Here is a 22,356-nt window from a genome sequence, read left to right on the forward strand (position 1 = left end):
AAAATGAGATATGCACAGCTTCTTCTTTCATTAGCAAAATAGTTATTCCTATCTAAAAATATTTAATAAGAAACTGAGTATTTATTATAACCTGATCTCTCTTTATAATCCTTGGAATTATTTTGCTATCATTCCACAGCACACAATCTGATATTTATTTTTGCAACTTATGGTAACAGTTCAGTAATGCTGGGTCCTGACTCAGTGATCGAATGCTGTTTTGTAAGAGCCTCTCAGTCCTTTCAGTGTTCAAGCTGGCCCAGTCACTGTGTGCAGCTGATTAACTGGAGTTCATATATTTTCCCCTTTATGCTCCGTGTGGCTTCTTGCTCTATGAATTTATCCTGGCTCAGCTAACCAACGCTCTTTCAAATGCTCCAAGCAAAAGGCTTTAATGTGAGAACTATGTTAGTATTTTTTTTTTTACAAAGTATGACAATTAAAAATAACTGTGGCAAGGTCCGGGAAATGAGTAGGAAGGAGGAAAAAAGAGTATTCACAAACATGCTTTCAAAAAATAAATTCTCAAACTAAGTACTTTTATTATGAAAGTCAGTGTTAAATGTGGACCAAATGACATCACTGGAAAAAAAGGGAAAACAATTCTCAAAAAAAGCAGTCAATCTAGTGTCCTTCTAGAAATATTAAATGCCATGTGAAAAAGGAACATTTACTGGGGTTTGCTGTAATAAAACCATGGACTGTAAATTATAATGACTAATTCAGAATGTCTTTTAAGTTTGTTTCTAATCACTGAGTGATTTGACTTGAAATGGTTGTAGCTTCTCCTTCTCAGCCATCTATACTTATCAGTTTAAAACTGCATCTATACTTGCCATATAAAGCTGCATTCCTCATATCTGTCTGACACTTGTGTATTTCCAAGAAAATTGAGAGTTTAGGAAGATTCAGCCTCGAAATTTCCACCAATGCTCTCAGAATACGTAAGTATTCAGAGTTCAGCCTATAACGTTGACTCTCCTACTTTGTAAATTATTATTGTTTTGTTTTTTTAAAATTGTAAATGTCTCTTACACTTAAACTCTTTGGTATATACCCTCGTATTGTGATATACCCTCAGATCACAATATAAGGGTATATACCAAATAATAAATAACATATGTTGAGTGGTCATTTATGCCTGTAGAATTGCTCATCAGGAATGTCACTAATAAGCTTTCCAGAATAAATAATAACAAATAATATCAGCAATGGACTCCCTCCCTCTTCAGCCCAGCTCTCTTGGCTAGGGACTCAAGGCAGAATCAGATCCTAGAGCTTCATATGAAGCCATATGCTTTATTTTCTTCAAGTACATTTCTTAGAGATGCAATACCAACTTGATATTTGTTAATTACAAAAACAAAATATGCTTCGATTGTATAATCTTTGCAAAAGAAATATTCTCATTTACCCTAGTTGAGTAGCTTAGGGATCATCATAGATCATCATGTCATCATAGATCCTAGAAAATTAGACCAATAATTTCCACAGATATCATTAAGTTTAACCATTTAATTATGTCCATTCTGTGATTTCCATCTTCAGTTTTTATCAATAATATTATAGTTTTATAAATGACAAGGATGTTGACACTAATAAAATGGTAGTAAAACATGGAAACAATGGTTAGACTTCAAATATTTTGATTTACCTACCAGTAGGATAAATCCAAATTCCTCAAAGATTTATCTGTCTACCAAACTAATTTTCAGAGATAATGAACATTTAGCTCGTGTTTTCTTAAATCTTTATGGGATTGGCTTTACAGGTCACCATAAACACATTGGTTTGGCCTCCACTTATATGCACCAATTTTTTCTGCTCCAAAGAGCATTTAAGAAGCAGAGCAGAACCCAGGTCTTTGCCTCCCCTTGAGAAGCTTAAGTCTAATTGAGAAATTGGAGTAAGAAAATGTAAAATGAAGAGATACAGAGATTTTTTTAAAGTTACATTCACATTTTAAAGGAAATTATTTTTTCAAAGACTGTTTTAGCATAAACATTTTCTATGGATTGTATTATTCTGGGAACATTATTAGTGACATTTCTGATGAGCAATTCTAAGGGTATAAATGACCACTCTAAGTATAATGGATAAAGTCACAGTAACAGGAGACAATGTTGGCAATCTCATTACTACACATCTTTTAAACTTCAATGGCACCATACTTATACTTGTACCTCTAAATTTAAATGTGAGTGGGGTCAATTAAATTTATTTTTTCTGTAGCAAATTCCATTTGAAAGTATTGCCTGGATAAAACTCACTCCTGAGTCTAAAATGTAAGTCAGTAAAAGTCAAACAAATCTATAAAGATAAGCAGTCACACTAGTGAATGGCCGTTAATCGACATGCCCTTTTAGCATCCAACTTCAAGGATTATCCCCAAAATGATACTGCTATCATCATAAGTGAGTGTGCTTGAAAAACCAGTTTTATGAGGGATTTCAATTCTACATAACAACTGGAAGTCCATGTTTTTTAAAAATGACTTATTCAGATATTTTGTATCATGTAGACCAATTCTCAAAAATGATTGTTTCATAACTTTGATTTGATTTCCATATTGACACATATTTTACATCTGCTATTTAGTACCTATCCAGGTGTACCTTGGTTTATAATTCTTTCCATTATATTACATTTTCATTCTCCTTTAATTAAACTGTTGGATAGCAATTCTTAATCCATTGGTGTGTTAGGACTCAACAATTCATGCCAAATTTCTTCAGTTATGCTTAAATACAAAAATTTCTGCTGCCTGCTTTTTCTTTGCAATGAGCATATATATATATATATATATATATATATATATATATATCTTTAGCAAAATCAAAAGTATAGAAAATAAAACTCTTTGAAATACAAAAATAAGTAAAAATGAAAAATGGCAAGGATACAAATTGTTGCAAGTTAATAGTAAATCATAAACTGCTTTGCAAATACTAAAATTGAAAATGAACAAAATGGAACTGATACTTCTGAAATGAACATATGGTATCTTACCCTTTAATAAATGGGTGTTAGTATCAACAGCAAAAATGTAGAGAACACTTAGTCAAAACTAAAGCCAAACTACACACTAGATAAAATAAATTAAAGCAGTGCAAAAACAAAGAAAAAACACTCAAAATTTGTTGTTGTTGTTTTTGTTCAGATAGTAAAAACAAGTGTAATTTAAGGACCTGTAAAATCAGACATGGGGAAGTATTATTAAAGTAGATATAATGTAAGAGGTAAATAGTTAAATGATAGATGTTCCCCTTTTTTTCTTAAAGAACATCACTTTCTAAGACATCTCATCAAATGAGTTCAACAAAACAGCCCACTGAGTGAGCTTTTTTGGGGAAACTCCAAGAATCCACAATCCCTCCAGTAGTCAAGACATGTTCCCCAGCAGAACCAGGAAGTTCACCAATCACCTGATAAAGAAAATTGATAACCTATTTAAAAATGTATCTTAATATACGCTTAGTCTGAAGGAACCCAGTAAACACCAGAATACACTTAAGGTATGCTTCTTTCACTCTAAACATGTATAACTGTAGTGATATCTGATTCTAGACGCACACTTCACTAAAAATATAGACTGTATTATTGTGTACAAATACAGTCAAGAAAACAAGCAGGAAATAGGACTAGAACTATAACATGCGTGTGGATGCATGTGTGTGTGCACACAAAGAACAAGAGAGATGATTTTCTTAAGGTCAGCAACATTGTCTATGGTTGATCAAAAAGTGATATTAATTTGCAAAATTAAAATTTGGTCAAACTTAGTATAGTAATTCCTAACAGTTTAATAATTAAGGATTTCCTCTATTCTCCTCTGAACTTCGTGGTTTAAAAGGTTTTCCATCTTCCTTCTGAGAAAAACTGAATATATTTAGAATTAATGCATTTTCCATTATATCAAAGACAAATTTAACTAAAACTACAGTAAACACAGAACATAGCCAATAAATGTTAAAAATGCTTGTTTAGTTAAGTGCTGTTTACACTGGAATATTTAAAGGAGTAGTGTGTATGTAGGATTCTGAAAACCAGTGTCAAACGCCATTTGATTTAGAATCAAGAGATCCTGCTATAAATCTTAGTTCTCAAATTTACTGGTTGTAATTTCTTAAAGAAACTATTCAGACCCTCTTCAGGAACTTCAGTCTCTGTGTCAGTAAAACTAAAGACACCATCGCACCAGTATCACAGGGCTATTGTAAAAAAAATTTCTTTAAAGAATGTTGTATATGTTTTACGACGTATATAAACAACAGACACATATTAGTATTATACTTTGAAGCACTTTGATTAATATTTTTGGCTTATAGAAATAAACTGCAAATGATTAGATTATTCAAATTAATGGTGAAAGGGATTTTGCAGTTTTTTCAGCAAAGGTCCTTGCAAAAGAATAACATATCATGTAGTACAGGGACAGTATAGAAGCACACAAACAGCATCATAATAAAAAAGTCAGCAAAGACCTACCCTTAAGAATCCAGAAACACAATAAGCAAATTACTGACCTCACCCATCTGTGTTCGCGTTTTGTGGCAATCCATGTGAAATAATGATGGCAAAAACACTGTCCTTACAAAATGCTGTTATTAGTAATTATCATAATAAAAGCAGTAGTAATGGAGATATACATGAGACAAGGGGTTAGAAAAATTTCAAAAATGTTCATATTCAAACCTACAAACAAATAGTAACATCGTATGAATTAAACTTAGATTCAAGTTCATAGTTATGAATTTACATTATGAATAAAGACTATGAATATCTATATAAATAAAGGAAAACTAGTATTAAGTAAAAGATGTAAAGAAAAATGTGCCTTCAAAATACCAAAGTGATTTACTTAGTCAACAAAGATTTATATACGAGTCTGTTTTAAGTACAGTAGGATCAAAGTATAGATAAGAAATAACATCCAGTTCTGGCAAGGATAAAGAGAAATTGCCCTCTCACATATTTCCAGTAAATAGGCAAATTACTACATCTTCTTTGGAAAATATTCTGGAAATATCTTCTAAAATTAATAAAACATACAAACTTTGACCTGTCCCGTGTTTGAAATCTAGCCTGAAGAGATGAAAGATATGTGAATAAGCATATATGCATAAGGATATTTACTGTAATATTGTTTATAGTTGCAAAATAACAACAGTAATAATTTTAGCAAATCTGAAAAAAGATATTAATCATGAGGGGAATATATTAAGAGTTTTTACTTTAAACATATTTAGTTAGGTCTATATATTCTGACCTGGAAAGAACTCCATGATATATTATTAAATAAAAAAGGAAGTGGATACAAAAGTCTACCCAAAATGAATTAAAGACTTAAATGTAAGATCTGAAACTATAAAATTAACAGAAAAAAAATATTGGGAAAACACCATAGGGCACTGGTCTGGGTAAAGATGTTTTAAGTAATGCCTCAAAAGCACAGGCAGCCAAAGTAAACATGGACAAAACGTGTTACATCTAGCAAATAAGCTTCTTCACAACAAAGAAAGCAATCAACAAAGTCAAGAGATAACCTACAAAATGAGATAATCCATCCAACAGGGATTAATAATCAGAATATATAAGGAACTCAAACAACTCAATAGCGAAATGATGTGGTTTGGCTCTGTGTCCCCACCCAAATCTCACCTTGAATTGTAATAATCCCCACAGGTCAAGGTGGGACCAGGTGGAGATAATTGAATCATAGGCGTGGTTTCCCCCATACCATTGTTTCGGTGGTGAATAAGTCTCATGAGATCTGATGGTTTTATAAATGGGAGTTCCCCTGCACAACCTCTCTTACCTGCCACCATGTTAGACGTGCCTTTGCTTCTCCTTTGCCTTCCACCATGATTGTGAGGCCTCCCCAGCAATGTAGAACTGTGAGTCCATTGAACCTGTTTTCTCTGTAAATTACCAGGCTTGGGTATGTCCTTATTAGCAGTGTGAGAACAGACTAATGCACAAAATAACCAATAATCTGATTTTTAAATGTGCAAAAGACTTGAATAGACATTTCTCAAAAGAAAACATACAGATTTATGAAAAAAAAAGCTCAACATCACTAATCATCAGAGAATTGCAAATCAAAACCACAGTGAGCTATCATCTCACCCCAATTAGAATGGCTATCATCAAAAGACCCAAAAAATAAATGCTGGGGAAAATGTGGATAAACGGAAACTCTTACATACATTGTTTGTGGATGTAAAGTAGTATAGTTATTATGGAAAAGAGTATGAAGGTTCCTCAAAAAATTAAAAATACAACTACCATATGATCCAGTAATCCCACTGCTGAGTATACCTGAAAGAAAGGAAATCAGTATATTAAAGAGATATCTGCACTCCTATGTTTATTACATCACAACCCACAATAGCCAAGATATGGAATTAATGTGTCCATCAGTAGATGAATGGTCAAAGAAAACACAGTATACATACACAATAAAATACTATCGAGTCTCACACACACACACACACACACACAAAACCCAATAAAATCCTGTCATTTGCAGCAACATAGATGGAACTGGAGGTCATTCCAGTAAAATAAGCCAGACCCAAAAAGACAGATAACTGCATGTTTTCACTTATATACAGAAGCTACAAAAATGGACCTCATGGAACTACAGAGTTGAATGGTGGTTACAAGAGGCTGGGAAGGAAAATGGGGTGGGGAAGATGAAGAAAAGTTGGTCAATGGGAACAAAAATACGGTTAGAGGGAAACAGTAAGTTCTAGGATTTGATGGTAGAGTAGAGAAATTATAATTAACATTATTTTATTGTATGTTTCAAAGTAGCTGGAGGAGAAGACATGTAGTGTTCACAATACAAAGAAAAGATAAATGTTTGAGGCAACGGACAACCCAATCACTCTATTTTGATCATTACACACTGTATACCTATATCAGAATATCATATGTACCCACAAAATATGTACAATTAGTAAATATCATTTTAAAACCTACAAAAAGATGTAAATTAGTGGGATGAGGAATATTTTTTCTTAGGTCTTAAGAGAATAAATATTAAAATGTTTAAAAAAAGGAGAAAAGTAGAAGACATTGAGTTCTGTTTAACATCTAATTATTAACTTTTTTACTTTATAAAACTTCATGGTACATAAACAACAGCTCCTTATTTTAATATTTTAATTGGATAAAAAAATTTTGAGGCTGGACACGGTGGCTCATGCCTGTAATCCCACCACTTTGGGAGGCCGAGGCAGGTGGATCACGTGGTCAGGAGTTCGAGACCAAGATGACCAACATGGTGAAACACCGTCTCTACTAAAAATACAAATCTTAGCCAGGTGTGGTGGCATGGGCCTGTAATCCCAGCTACTCAGGAGACTGAGGCAGTAGAATCACTTGAACTCGGGAAGCGGAGGTTGCAGTGAGCCGAGATCAAGTCATTGCCCTCCAGCCTGGGCGACAGAGGGAGACTCCATCTCAAATAATAATAATAATAATTTTGAATAATAATGGCATAGAAGGAATACAGATGACTAAGAGTTTGCGTTCAAATAGCTTAAAATACAATAGGTAGTGCAAACTCATAAACAACTCTAAGAGAAGTTAAAAGGGAAAGCACTCAATAGGAGACCTTCACTCTATCACCAAAGCACATTAGAAGTGTCATGGGAAGTTGAGTCGTGGTTAAAACTGAACTGGAAAGGATTTGGGTAGAATGAGTGAATTTTGTCATACCCTTCCAAGGGCATTCTAGCCCCAGGGAAGCTGAAGACAAAGGCTGGGAATAGCTGAGTAAGGCACAACGTGGTGGGGTGGAAAGCTCGGTGACTTCCCAATCACTCTGTCCAGGTGGCAAACACTGAGCGAGGCGAAGAGACACCATTCCCCACCCGACTTCCACTCTTGGAATTTAGCACATTAAAATGTTTAGTTATATCTAATTTGGTGAAGTTTTGTATATGCAGCTAGAGAGGACTAAAATAATCCAGAGAAGGTAATAGAGACTTTCACTAGCATTTCTAAATACATTACGCTGAGCTATAATCTCAGTCTAGTAACATTCTAAATATATTGAAAAGATAATTTAGTGACAGAAGAAAATGCTTATTAACAATCAATCTTGAAAAGATAGAACCTCCTCAAAACTCGTATATACAGATGGCACACTTATGGTGGGATCACAATAAAATGCTAAATAAGCCAATTTGGGTATGATCTTTGATAGAGTAATTGAATATTTGTCTTTGAAGGATTCGGATTTCCAAAATTACCCCCCATGCAGACCTGAACATCATTCAGGCAACTGCTTAGCACTTAAATAGCTTTCACAGAAACAGATGGCAATAATAAATAAATCTGCATATCAAATGCTTACTGGTAAAACTATAATGCTGTTATGAAAATTAAAATCTAAGCAAAATCGGTAAAAAAGAGAAAAAAGGTTAGCAGTTTCCCAAGTATAGTCCGAATGAACCAAAGCAACAGTTCTAAGCGTTGTGAAAGCATAAATTAAGACAAATATCTTCATGTTTAAATATCAAAAGAAGCTTATTAACCACGGATGGAGAGGAGAACTAGACATCCAAGTGTCCAAGATAGAATGCATATAGACGATGCCCATGTGGGACTCAACTTTGATGTCTTGATGACATCTACACATTCACTTAACCTAAAGTAGCTAATCAAACCACAGTTATCAAAGGAGGAATGGTTCTTTACTAAATGATACAGTAACATTTCCTACATAGTTTTGGTATCCCAGAAACTAAGAGAGTCACCATATTGGTTAGTCATTTCTTTTTCCACCAAGACAAACTCAAAAATATTTAGATCATCTTGCCCTTTCAAATGATGCTCTGTGAGTATGAGAATGTCATTTATTTATTACCTCTTTATTAAGCAAAATATGTGAACCAATTTTATTTTTAATATCAAGTAATGCTCAATACTTCATGTATGCATCCCACTTCGAAATACAAGAGCATAGAGACAATTAACAAAGACCTACACAACATAATATTCATTTCAACCTGGAGTGAGCCATTACTAGCATGAAAGTCACACACCTTTAGCTTTTGATCACTGGCAAAATAATGGCAAAAAATCCTCTTAGACTCTCTAAACGTGTGCAAATATTTGCAATGCAATTTTCACTGACAGTATGGCACTGGGTACTTGCTCCCTAGCATATACAAGAAATGTAAGATAACTTTATGGTTTCTATGCCAATTACATCTAAAAAGCAGGTAAACAAAGTCATTCTATCACATTTACCTTCATGCTAAAATACCATATCTACTGTCGCTGGAATTTGTGTATTTATCAACTAATGTCTATTTTGAACAATTCATTCTCGCAGTAAAACAAGTGTATAGGCAAATGTACCACAAGATACAAACAGGTTAGGAAGTATGCTTTTGGACATCTGGAAAACCTCACCAAGTTTTGTAGCTAAGAACACCATCAGAAGTTCTGGAAAGAGAAATCCAAATTTACTGCTTTCTGGTGACTTTGCTTCAGAAAGAACAACAATACAAATAACAAACAGTCACTTTTCTGGATGAGCAATATATTTATTGACTTTGGACGGAGCTCACATATCATCCTGCTCTATTTCAAGCCTGCGGAAGGTCACCATCTAGACACCAACCCACCTCACTAAATGTTTTCACAGTCAAGTTTCCTGAGAGAAGAGATGATTAGCTCACCCTTCGTCCATCCTCACTTCCATTCACCTCTCAACATCTGCTTTCTTGGAACCCTTCCTTTCAGGATTTCTGGGATGTCACTCTATAGAGATTTCTTCCCTTTCCCTTCACGTGACTTCTCTGCAGTCCTCTCTCTCTTTTCCTCTGCTCGGTCTTTCCAGGTAAATGATTCCTTAGTCCTCTGTCCTTGGTTCTCTTTTTCCCTTAGGTTACATAGACAGGCTTCACAGAGGAATCTCATTTACACCCCTTATGTACAGGTCACACCTAAATCTTTATTGCCAACTGAGATCTATTTCCTAGTCTCAAATTCTTCATAGCCAATTGCTGCTGGAAATATCCATCTGAGAACTTCAATCTCAGTGGTTTGGAAACTAATGTCATTAACTTCCTTGCCTTCCCCTGGCCCTCCACATCTTCTTAAGCTCTTAGATTTCTTGTTCTGGTTAATGGAAACCTTGTCTTGGCCAATGAGGTATATTCAGTGACTGAAGAGTTTGAAGTTAATGAAAAAAAAAAAGGATTCATTTTTCATTTATATTTGAATCCCCATCATTACATGGGAAAGAGTTGATGATCAATAATGGTTTTTTGAATGAATAACAAGTGAATTTTATAATGAAAAACATTGAGGCATAGACAACATTTTAAAATGAAACAAGAAGAAACAAATGTGGAACATGGAGACAAAAAAGAGCCAATTTGTTTTGCTTTGTTTTGTTTTGAGAAACCGGAAAATAAAAACTTGTGCCTATGTGACATTAATCTTATAGGGATTGCCCCTTAGGCCTGTTAGCAGCAGACACTCTGTGAATATTTCTGCGATGACTTCACGAATTTACTCACTTTTCAAGAAGCTACATTTTACGCTTTAACCCAGTAATTGAATGGCTAACATTTTCAGGCTCTCTGATATTTGTTAATTAATTAGTCACAGCTAAACAATGCAAAGGACAAAAGAGCCTATTGTAGTCAGAATAGCATGGGCTTTGGAATATGTCAGAATTGGACACATGTCCTGTTTCGGACAATGATGTCCACACAACCTTTGGTAGCGGTTTACCTTCTCCAGCCTAAGTTTCTCCATTTGTAAGCAGGTTTAATTATTCTCTTCTTGCATGTTCTGATCTCATCTCAGAAAATTTCAGAGGAGTATATGGAAACTGCCACACCAAATACAACACACAGCAATGGAGGAAAGATGTAGATTTTAGACTAGGAGACACCTTAACACAGAAGACTTTTACACCTGCTGGCAAAGCTCACCTGCATCAGAATCAGAATCTCTGGGAGTGGATCAAGCACCTACATTGTTACCAAGCTCTTGGGGTTCACCTGATGCACAAAAACTAAATGTATAGGGACCACTGCCTTAGACAAGGTCAGATATGTCTACTTTACCGCTATTTTTATTCTTTAAAGTGGCTTTCGAACATGCTCATTTCATCCAATTCTTCCAAGGCAGACATTGATTCATTCATTAGCCCAGGGATAATTGAGCATCAGACACTGTGCTAGGTGTTGAGGAGTAAAATGGAAAAAAAGACTAAACATTCCTTAGTAATGGAATAGATAATTTCTGTGGCAAGCCTTACTCAAAGACTAACTCGAATAAATCTAAAATGACGCCGTGCCATGTGTGAGGAAGGAGAGAGACACATGTCACTATGAAATATTCATCCTGGATGCATTGGCAAGGAAATTGTGGTTCACAAAGGCCAGCTACACCTTAAATCAGCCTCATCAGCCATGACCAAAAATAGTGAAAAACTGGATTTGTTTTACGATGAGCATTCCACCATCTGTGCAACTATTCTTATCAAATTCTGGCCTGTGCACAGACAACAGAGAGCAATAAGGTTCCCATAGAGCTCACATGTGATGAGCCGACCTCGAATTGCTGCAGTCTAGGAGTGCCAAAAGAAAAAAGGAAAAAAATCCCACGGATGTGCTGAAACACTATTTCAAAGCTGTGGCAGGGCCAAGGTCTGGAGGTAAACAGAAGGACAAACAGGCCAGAATCACACAGAGCAACCAGAAATAGACTCCTCTCAGATACTCTCATTCATTGTTGCCAGATTTGCCCTTCTTAAGAAATTCAGCAGGATAACATTGTATGGACTGAAAGTTGTACATATTTGTAGACCCAGAAACTATACTTTTAGGAATGAAATTTTTTAACATATGCTGAAAACATTTTAGGTAAATGGGTTTGATTTTGAAACGTTATTTATAATTTTTAAAAATCAGAAACAAATGTCTAACACTGAAAGAATATTTAAATAAACTCGTACTCCCCATAAACTTGAAAGTATGCAACTATAAATATTATAGAGTTTTTAAAGCATAATAACATACTTATCATATAAGAATAAATTAAAACTATGTAAATATGGATAGTTTGATCTGGCTTTGGACAAATGCAAGCACAACATCTGTGTCTGTGTGTGTGTGCGTGTGTGTGCTTCTGCCTGTTGCAGGTGTGTACAGGTATATGCAAAGAAACCTGAAAATATACAAATATTTATTAACTCTGCCTTTTAATTGTATTCTCTCTTCTGCTCCTCACCCATGAACATTCATTTGAAATAAAAAGAAGAAATTAAAAAAAAAACAGTGGCAGGTGTTTGTAAAAAGAACATAATTTTCCTGATGCACCACTTCTCCTCTGGCTGACCCAGAGGCTCAGGGGCTAAGACAAATACAACAACAGGCTTCTCAAAAAAGCAGCTGCAACTATGAAATTAATCAAGAGTAATTTTTACATGCAAACTGGTCAGTAAGACCTTAGAGCCACAAAACAGTCCCTGAAAAAGGCAGTTTCTTTCAGAAGCCTGCTAGCATAGTGCATATATTACAAACAAGACACTCATAGATCATTAAGACTATGTCAAATGGCTATAAAATCTTATTTTAAAAAATTAGGTCAAATGGTCATTAAAATGTGCACATATATATGAGAGAAGAATAAGCCTATTCCTTAAACGTCGAACTATGTCTAGGCTTTAGCCAGGGTGTATTTCTTTAAAGACTCACTATCTCTTCCCCCAACCTCCTCTGCATCCATCTATTCATTAATGTAACTCTTTGCTTTCCTGTGTGTCCTTTTAATTGGGAGCACTGGATTGTGTGGGGATACTAGCTACATTGCCTTATATCAAACCCCGTTGGGCTATCATGACATCAGAAAAACGCAACATAATAAGATCTCAAATTCATAAAAGAGGTCCCTCTAGAAGCCTTCGGGTGGTGACAAGTCAGTATCCAAGCTTGCCGGAAGGCCAGTGGTGTGCCGTGATGCCCTTTCACCTGGGGCTTGCTGAGCCCCATAGATCCGGGTGGGGGGACGCACAGGCTGCCCTCCCAGCTGGTAGCCATCTGCCTAAGTGACAACTGCCAGATGGGGAGAAAAAACTGAAATAGGGATTAAACATTAAATAAGAGAGGGTTTCTTGGAAAGCAGCATTGACATCGATCATTCATAAGACTTTTTAAAGTCTTGGAAATTTTTATTTGAAATATTTGGATAGGAATTTTTTAAAAAGACAAATAAAAAATTCCTGGATGAATATGTCCCATGTGCTAGACATGAAATGCCTCATGCTTCCTACAGAAAACACACTGAATTGATTTATAAATGTACTTGTTGTTCCGTTCTAACTTCAAACTCAGACAGATCAAAGAATCAATAAATATAGTGTTTTGCCTCTCCCCATGGGAGAGGAGGCTCTTAGACTCTCCCCTAATCGAATTCCCAGTTGTTGTTTAGGTTAGAATCTCCCAAAGCTATTCACACAGGAGTCTCTCACCTGTGGGTTGTCTAACTTTGGAAACTGAACCCTAAGCAAAAGAAAGGATGAGAAATGATGGGCGTTGCCTCACCTCTTGCCCCAGTTTGCAAGTCATTACTAGGAAGGAAAGCAGGTTGTGGAACTGACCAGAATCAAAAAAAATTCACTCAGCTACATTTTTTAACCCATTTTGAATTACATCAGAAAAAGCAGGGGTTTTTCTCTGTGTCATCACAATTTTCTTTTTATTGCAAGCTTTTAAAGTTTAGGAAAAAATTCCAGGCTCAACAAACCAAGTTTTAAAAGATTGGAATCATAGTAGGGACCATATGTGCTGTTATTTAAAAAGGAAAATAGTAATTAACATTCAGAAGAAGATTAAGTCAGGGAGGTAAATACATTTTATTTTTCCTTTAAAGAAATTTAAATCCTGGATAAAAGAAAGTATAAAAAAGACATTTCTTTCCTACCATTCATCTTCCTAATCAAATCCAGATCAAACCCATAGCATGAACATGGACTTAAAATGGAATTAAGGAGAGAAGTCAGAGTTAAAGGAATTAATTGACAGCCATGGGTTTACAAGCCTTTTATTATCACAAAATGGGCAGTGGAGTTGCTTCTCAAACCCTAGCAAATGAGATTCAGACCTGAGGGGTTATCTCTGGGACAAGTGCACCAGAAAGTCTTTTTGCTGCTCAGCGGCTTGCGTTTACAGTGATGCCAGTTAATGCACAGGATTTTGGACACATTTGTATGGGTATTTTTTTTTAAACCCCATTCAAGGACTGAGTCCATTTCTCCTCTTTTGGCCAGTAGTTGGCTCTATATAAGCACAAGCTTTATCTAAACTGAGGTGAAAACCTCTCATCAAAACTGACAAATGCAAACCCTCTAATTGGACATTTTCTGAAGTATTCAATTTGGCATCAACATAATTGCTAAAAGATAGTGTAACTTATTTTAACATATTTACATTTTTATAATGCAAAACTCTATAGTTCATTTTTTGTTCTGTAGCTTCTTGTCTTGTCTAATGTTTTTATAACAGAAATGCACAGACACACATACTCAAGCATGATACAAAGCAATCAGTGTTTATGTGGAAATTGTTTTTAAAGAGCTAAATCTGAACATTAATATTTGCCTATGTTTGAAATTTTACCATTAAAAAAAAACAAGTTCAATATAGGCTCAATGTTTGATCACCAGATATAGTCCTAAGAAAATAATGATTACCACAAGTCCCGGAAATCTCACACGATTCCTACTGAAACATAGTTATCCATCTTCTATAATGAGCAATGATTCTGGATTGGAAGTATATACAGATGTCTATATGTTATTGCAAAGCTAAGAAATATGTAGAACAGAAAAGATAGGGAAGAGTAATTTTATAAATGGCTAACTTTACTACTTTCTATATACCATATTGAGTAAACATAGGTCAGACAGCGTTGAACATTAAACAAACAATTGTATTCTACAATTATGGGCATAGAAATAAATTCTTAAAATGTGCTTTGGTAAGATAAAGAACCAGTGACATTACCCCCATGTAGTTGTCACTGATCTGGCTAAATCAAGTAAACAGTAACTCCTCCAAAAGTTTCCAAACCCTCAAAGCACCACACAGTGAACTCAACAAGTGGATTAACTAAGAAATATTGCGAGTGAGGCCTGTCTTTCTCTGTTGCCCAGCACACTTTCAGGACATCCATTTTCTCTTTCCACCCAGGGCAAGGGAAATACATTATTTTCACAAAAAGGAATTTGCTCAGAAAGTATAAATTTGTATGCAATTCCCCAAGTCACCACATAGCAGTTCAGTTCTGCAGATATCATCAACTCCACGTCCACCGGCTTTGTATGTCAACATTAGCAATTCTTACCTCATGTTGGGTAATCTGGGTGACTTATTTTGCCAATTTTCTCATAGCATGTCACATTTTCTAAAGTGCTATGCTTTAGAAAAGTATTTCCTATTTTCCTGTAGCCAAAAATTTTAACATTCAGAAAACAGTGTCAAGTTTCTGGTGTATATTCTGATTCTGAGATGAGCTTTTATTTCATACTGCAGCTGCTATAAATCCCAAAGGAATACAGATAACGCAGTACATTTCACTCTTTTAACCATTTCTCTTAGGTTTTTCAAAGATAGTTATGGTTTCATAGATGTCCCTGTTTCGGGGCTCTTTGAAAAGTGCTCAAGAATGTAGAATTGAGTATCAGAAAAAAATCTTTTGGGATCTTCATTCTGCCACTTGCTTAGCTAGAAGATCTGAAGCTAGAAACACCACTTCTCCAGCCTCAGTATCCTTATCTGAGAAATCGTGATTAAATGAGATAATTCATGTAAAGCGCCGAGCACAACGGCTGGCTCACTAAATGTTTCTTAGTAACAACAACATTCATGTCAATTGGCCATAAATCACGTCACCAAGGATCTCCTGCAGCTATGACTTGCCTAACTTTCTTATAAACCACAATTAGCATGCAGGTAGTGCCAGGGTTTGTGGTGGTGTCTGACTGAGTTCTCTCCCACACACCCATAGAATAACCCAGCAGTGAAGCGGCAAGGGATGGCAATACCAAGCATGTGTACCAACACAGCCACTCTATGTCCCTAGACAATGTTAAGGCACTTTGAAGATATGGCAATAAACTAAACATTTCCTAGTTCTCTGATAAAATTCTATATACATCTAGCAGTGCCCAGCTAAATGTTATCACTAAAGCTTTGTGAGTAAACCATCCTTCTAAAAATCTACAAATTCTTACCCCAACCACCGCAGGTTAGAGGAGAGCCTTTCCATGCTAACTATGGCAAACTTCCAACATCTATTTATATTTGTTCTTTCTCCCAGCCATTGTCGCACTTGGGGTGCCACGGTACAGAATGAGTTCCAGTTAGAGAACTTCTCCACAAGGCATTTAATTGTGCAACAGATCAGTTACAATCTGAGAAGTGCACAGGGAGTGCAGAAGGAAAGTACCTCAACTGAAATGCCGGCTGTGCGCAAATACTAATACTCAAGACAAAACACACCAAGCCATCGATAAAGTATTGCTAGAATAGAAAACATATTTTTAGGCCATGCATGGTGACTCACGCCTGTAATCCCAGCACTTCGGGAGGCCAAGTCAGGTGGGTTACTTGAGGTCAGGAGTTCGAGACGAGCCTGGCTAACAAAAATTAGCCAGATGTCAGGAGTGTGCCTGTGGTCTCAGCTCCTTGGGAAGCTGAGGCATGAGAATCACTTGAACCTGGGAGGTGGAGGTTGCAGTGAGATAAGATTGCACCACTGCACTCCAGCCTGGGCAACAGAGCCAGGCTCTATCAAAAAAAAAAAAATTAAAAATTTTGTACCACAAAAAAACATAATCAAGTTTAATTGACAAATAACCCAGAAAAGGATAGTTTTATTTTTTTAATATACAAAAAGCTCTTATAAACCAGAAGAAAAAATATCCCATAAGGGAAAAGGGGTCACAAAATATCTTTGAAAAGATATTCTGCTAAAGAAAGAGAATGCAAATGGCTAAGAAATATACCACAAAAAAGTTCAGCCCCAATATTCAGTGGGTCAAGATAGTAAAAATGGAGTATGATTTATTTACTTAGTAAAAAATAGGTAAAATATTGACCAGTATTAATGTGTGAGAAAAGCAACATCTATGTAAGTTGAAGTATAAATTGCTCAACCTCCCTGAAAGTCACATATAGACAAATGTTTTAGACGCACAATCTCTAACTTAAAAATTAGGAAACTTCTTAAGGATATATATACAAGGGTATGCATCAGAGTGTTACGTTAAACGCTAAAAAATGAAGACAATAGAGTTCTACCATTGGGTAATTGGTCAAAAAATATATTTATACGTGTTAAAATTCATTGTGTAATATATATTTATTTAAATGTAAAGTATCAATTGTTAATAGAAAATAAAATTACAAAATAATCAAGAATTTAATGCTGCTGTTTCTGTAAAATTATTTACAGCTAGACTAACATTTAGAATAATGACTGTCAAAGACATGGTGGAATCCACACCCAATTAAGGTGGTAGTTCAAATGATATTTAATTAACTTTTAAAATAATGTCCCAGGGCCAAGGGTGGTGGCTCGTGCCTGTAATCCCTGCACTTTGGCAGGCTGACATGGATGGATCACTTGAGGTCAGGAGTTTGAGACCAGCCTGGCCAACATGGTGAAACCCCATCTCTACTAAAAAAAAGAAAGAAAGAAAGAAAAATATATTAGCCGGGTGTGGTGGCACGTGCCTGTAATATCAGCTACTTGGGAGGGTGAGACAGGAGAATCACTTTGCTTGAACCTGGCAGGCAGAGGTTGCAGTGAGCCGAGATTGCACCACTGCACTCCAGACTGGGCAACAGAGCAAGACTCTGTCTCAAAACAAAACAAAACAAAAAGCAAAAATAAGGTAAAAGCCTGACTGTCATACAGGTATAAACTAAACTAAACAAATATTCCATACTGTTTACATATTGCTATGAATGTTGTACTATTTTAAAATAAACAAAGTTGTAGCTAGTTTTGTTTTGAAACAAAAATTACACTTCCTCACATGGGCCTGGGTGTTCCACAAGTCAGTGAGTTGTCTGCAGCTAGAATACAATTCACGGAGCGGGAAAAAATGTTCACGTATTAGGTTTTTCAGGCTGAGTTTCCCTCCGAAATGGAGGAAGTCTGAGTTCAAGGATGGTGGAGAGATGTGCCCACGGAAGAGGGCCCCTCGTGGTGGAGCAGCAACCATGATGGGAAAAGCAGCCAAGCGCTCACTGTCCCTCGTTGGGACGGTCCTCCTCTCTGGAATAAACCAGAACACCCAAGGAAGGCAAGGGCAGGAAGAGACAAGCTAGAGCTGCAAGATGAACCCCTTCCCAGGCTCTCCCAGCAGGGACAGAGCAACAGTCCATTGGGAAGGCAAAGATGAACGTGCTGGCCATGCTGGCAGTGCTGGCTCCATTCCGCAGGCTTCAGGCTGCAGCAAGCGGGGCCTGCAAAGAGGAATCACTGTCCCCTAGGCCTCGGTCAGTGGAGGGACTCAGGAATCAGGGGCACCCTCCAGTGGAGAAGCCTGGCAAGGGCCACCCAGCTGCTGGTGGCTCTCCCATCTCACTCAGGACAGTTTCCTAAGGACAGGGCTCCAGCACCGTGCACTGCCCCATATCGCCCTCTCTTTTACTGTGTCATTTCTGGCCCTTGCTCTATAATCAGCAAGCTTTCCTATGCCCTCAAACTCTTCTGGAAAACTTCATCCCCTGCTTGCTTCCCCTACCCCAACCAGACTCTGCTACCTTCTCCCTTTCTCTAAGGACAGCTGCCCTTCTACAGCTCCTACTGTTCCACTGGTCCACCCTTCCCCAGCCCTGATTTCAGAGCAGGCCTGGCAGCCTGCAGACCACACCTGCATCAGCAAGCGCCCAGCAATGGGCTCGGATCCTTCCCTCCATGTTGCCTAGGCTGGTCTCAAACTCCCAAGCTCAAGTGTTCCTCCCATGTCAGTGTCCCAAATTGCTAGGATTACAGGTGTGAGTCACCACGCCCAGCCCCATCTATGATAGACAAAGTTCTTAGTAGCAAAGAGCAGAAGCAGACTTTGATTGATTAAGCTAAAAAATTTTTTTAAAAAACAATTTGGGGAAGGAATATAAATCATTCTATTACAAAGATACATGCACACATATGTTCATCGCAGCACTATTCACAATACCAAAGATATGGAATTAACCCAAATGCCCATCAGTGATAGAATGGATAAAGAAAATGTGGCACGTATACACCATGGAATACTATGAAGCCATAAAAATGAATGAGATCATGTCCTTTGCAGGGATGTGAAGGGAGCTTGAAGCCATTATCTTCAGTAAACTAACGCAGGAACAGAAAACCAAACACTGAATGTTCTCGCTTATAAGTGGGAGCTGAAGAATGAGAACACATGAACACAGGGAGGGGAACGACACACACTGGGGCCTGTGGGGGGAGGGTGGGATGGGGAAAGCATCAGCAAAGATAGCTAATGCATGCTGGGCTTGATACTTAGGTGAAGGGTGGATAGGTGTAACAAACGCCATGGCACACGTTTACCTATTTAACAAACCTGGACATCCTGTACATGTGCCCCAGAACTTAAAATAAAATAACAATACAATTCCAAAAAGAAAAAAGTTTTGGGGAAGCTCACCAAATTATCAAGATGGCTGGGGAACCAGACTTAAAGCTAAGCTGCCAGGAGCAATACCCCAAACCAGCCATACAGCTGGGTTGGTGGAATATCACACCCTTTCTCCATTGTCCCTGCTGCCTCAGGGCTCAAAGTTTACTGCAACCACCACCAACACCACTGTACCTTCTGTACCCACAAAGTAACCCTGTAGCCACAATGATGGCTGATATGATTTTGCTCTGTGTCCCCACCCAAATCTCATCTCAAATTGTAATCCCCACATGTTGAGGGTGGGACCTGGTGGGAGGTGATTAGATCATGCAGGCAGTTTCCCCCATGCTGTTCTCATGATAATGAGTGAGTTCTCATGAGATGTGATGGTTTTAAAAGTGGCAGTTTCCCCACACTCTCTCTCCCCTGCCACCATGTAAGACCCGCCTTGCTTTTCCTTCACCTTCCGCCACATTGTAAGTTTCCTGAGGCCTCCAGAGCCATGCAGAACTGTGATTCAATTAAACTTCTCTTGTTTATAAATCACCCAGTCTCAGACAGTTCTTTACAGCAGTGTGTGAATGAACTAATACAACCTCTGATCCCCACCCAGAGCAAGAGCTCCCCAACTCTCCCCTCTTGGACCTCCAGCTCCTGAGTAAATGTCTAGAGTTGGTGAATCTGATTCACAGAGTCCAGAGCTGTGGCAGCAAGGAAGGCTGGGGATGTAGTAGGATCAATTCCTCTGGGGGAGGTATTTTTTACCCACACTATGACTCATAAAGTGGAGAATTACTGGAACATGGTCAGTGTATTATTGCATTCTCATACTGCTAATAAAGACATACCCAAAACTGGGTGATTCATAAAGGGAAGAGATTTAATGGACTCACAGTTCCACATGACTGGGGAGGCATCACAATCATGGTGGAAGACGAAGGAACAGCAAAGTTACGTCTTACACAGTGACAGATAAGAGAGCTTCTGCAGGAGAATGGCTCTTTATAAAACCATCAGATCACATGAAACTTATTCACTATCACAAGAATGGCACGGGATAAGACCTGCCCCCGATATTCAATTACCTCCCACTGGGTTCATCCCACAACACATGGGATTATTACAATTCAAGGTGAGATTTCGGTGGGGGGCACAGAGTCAAGCCATATCAGTCAGGAATTTGAATGTTGGACACTCAAAAAAAAAAAAAAAAGATGACAGCTATCTCTGCCCCAAGACCGTGTCATCTACGTGCCTCAAACTTTCATACCTCTATCTGTATTTCAGGATTATTCTCTGAGCTTATTTGATATCTCCTACTTCATAATTGAAACAAATCTCTGGATCCTCAGCCCTTGCCACCTCTTCTTGGCTGCATCTTTCACTTTTTAGCAAACCTCTTTACATTTGATCGTTCACACTGGGAACCTGAGTGGCTGGGTTCCTTCTTTCTTCCTCCATCCTGCATCCAGCCTAACACACACAACTGGCCATTTCAACTGAAAAGTGTGTCTCAGATCTGCCCATTTCCTTCCACTCTCTTTCTTATCCCTCTGTTGTGAGTAAGTACTAAAACCTCTGCCCTGGAATACCAGCCTGTCCTCTTGCCTGCCTCTAATCTATTTCTCAGTAATTTAGAAATTACTAAGTTCTTTAGCAACTCAGTAGTTACTAAATTACTAATAGAGTAATCTTTAAAACAGGTGTCGGTCCTACCTATGGCTTCCTTTTGGAATATGTCGGTCCTACCCATGGCTTCCTTTTTAAAAGATTACTAAATTATAAGGTGTCTTGAATAAAGTCAGGACCCGCAGAATTTGATCTTAGAAACTCAGTGTATCCTCATCCTCCTCCTAGTTTATTACACTCTGCCTCAGGACTATTTTCTGTTATTGCAGAGGTCAGTCTGTCTCTTGGTCCAGACTTTTCACACACATTGCCACCTCTGCCTGGAGTGTTATTCCCTCCCTTCCGCTTCTCTAGCCAACTCCAAACAAAGATATAGGTCTCCACTTCAATATCATTTCTCAGAGAAGCCTCCCTGATGCTCTGATGTAAGTTAGCTTACCCACTTTTCTCTTTTTTTGACATCGTCTTCTTTCCTGCCATTTATGATGATTTCTGATTGTACATTTGTCTGTGAGATTACATGTGACCATTTGACTCCTCCCACTTAGCCACGTGAAGTTGGAGGGTACCCCTGATTTCTCCACCACAGAAAACCTGGGGCCTTTCCAGTTGCCTGCCTGAGAGTCGGCATTTGGTTGAGCACAAAGATAACCTAAGCAACCAATCAAGGCAAACAAGATCCCACGCTCAGGAGACAGGTACAAATAATAGACTCTCCCTGCCCCTAGGAGACCAGATAAGAACTGATTGTGGAAGTATAATTTTTTTTGTTGAGTAGATCTGGTCAAGTTAGTACCTGAAAACATCAACTTCCAAACTCATTCTGAAAAACTGGCAGTAAAGGGAGGATGATGTCCCATGTAAGGAGGATTGGGACAACAGGCAGCTTCCTACTGCTTTGAAAAGAGGGTAAAAGAAGAGAAATGGCAGGATGAAAATCCCCAGTGCCAACAGTGCGTAAGGGTCTCCTCTCCTGTGTTCTCCCTCCTACCAAGGGCAGCTTCCCTGGTGCCTAATTCTTGCAGAGCGGAGGAGGGTCTCCACCCAGC

At 37.6% G+C, this 22,356-nt stretch overlaps 1 annotated feature.

The window, feature by feature from the left end:
• Positions 18,049-18,550: an enhancer, noted in NCBI's record as "H3K27ac hESC enhancer chr13:106688889-106689390 (GRCh37/hg19 assembly coordinates)". NCBI's record gives its function as "activates a minimal SCP1, AML or CMV promoter by ChIP-STARR-seq in primed H9 embryonic stem cells {active_cell/tissue: H9 hESC(primed)}" and the evidence as "EXISTENCE:reporter gene assay evidence [ECO:0000049][PMID:30033119]".

Source organism: Homo sapiens, chromosome 13, assembly GCF_000001405.40.
Source record: "Homo sapiens chromosome 13, GRCh38.p14 Primary Assembly".
NCBI lineage: Eukaryota > Metazoa > Chordata > Mammalia > Primates > Hominidae > Homo > Homo sapiens.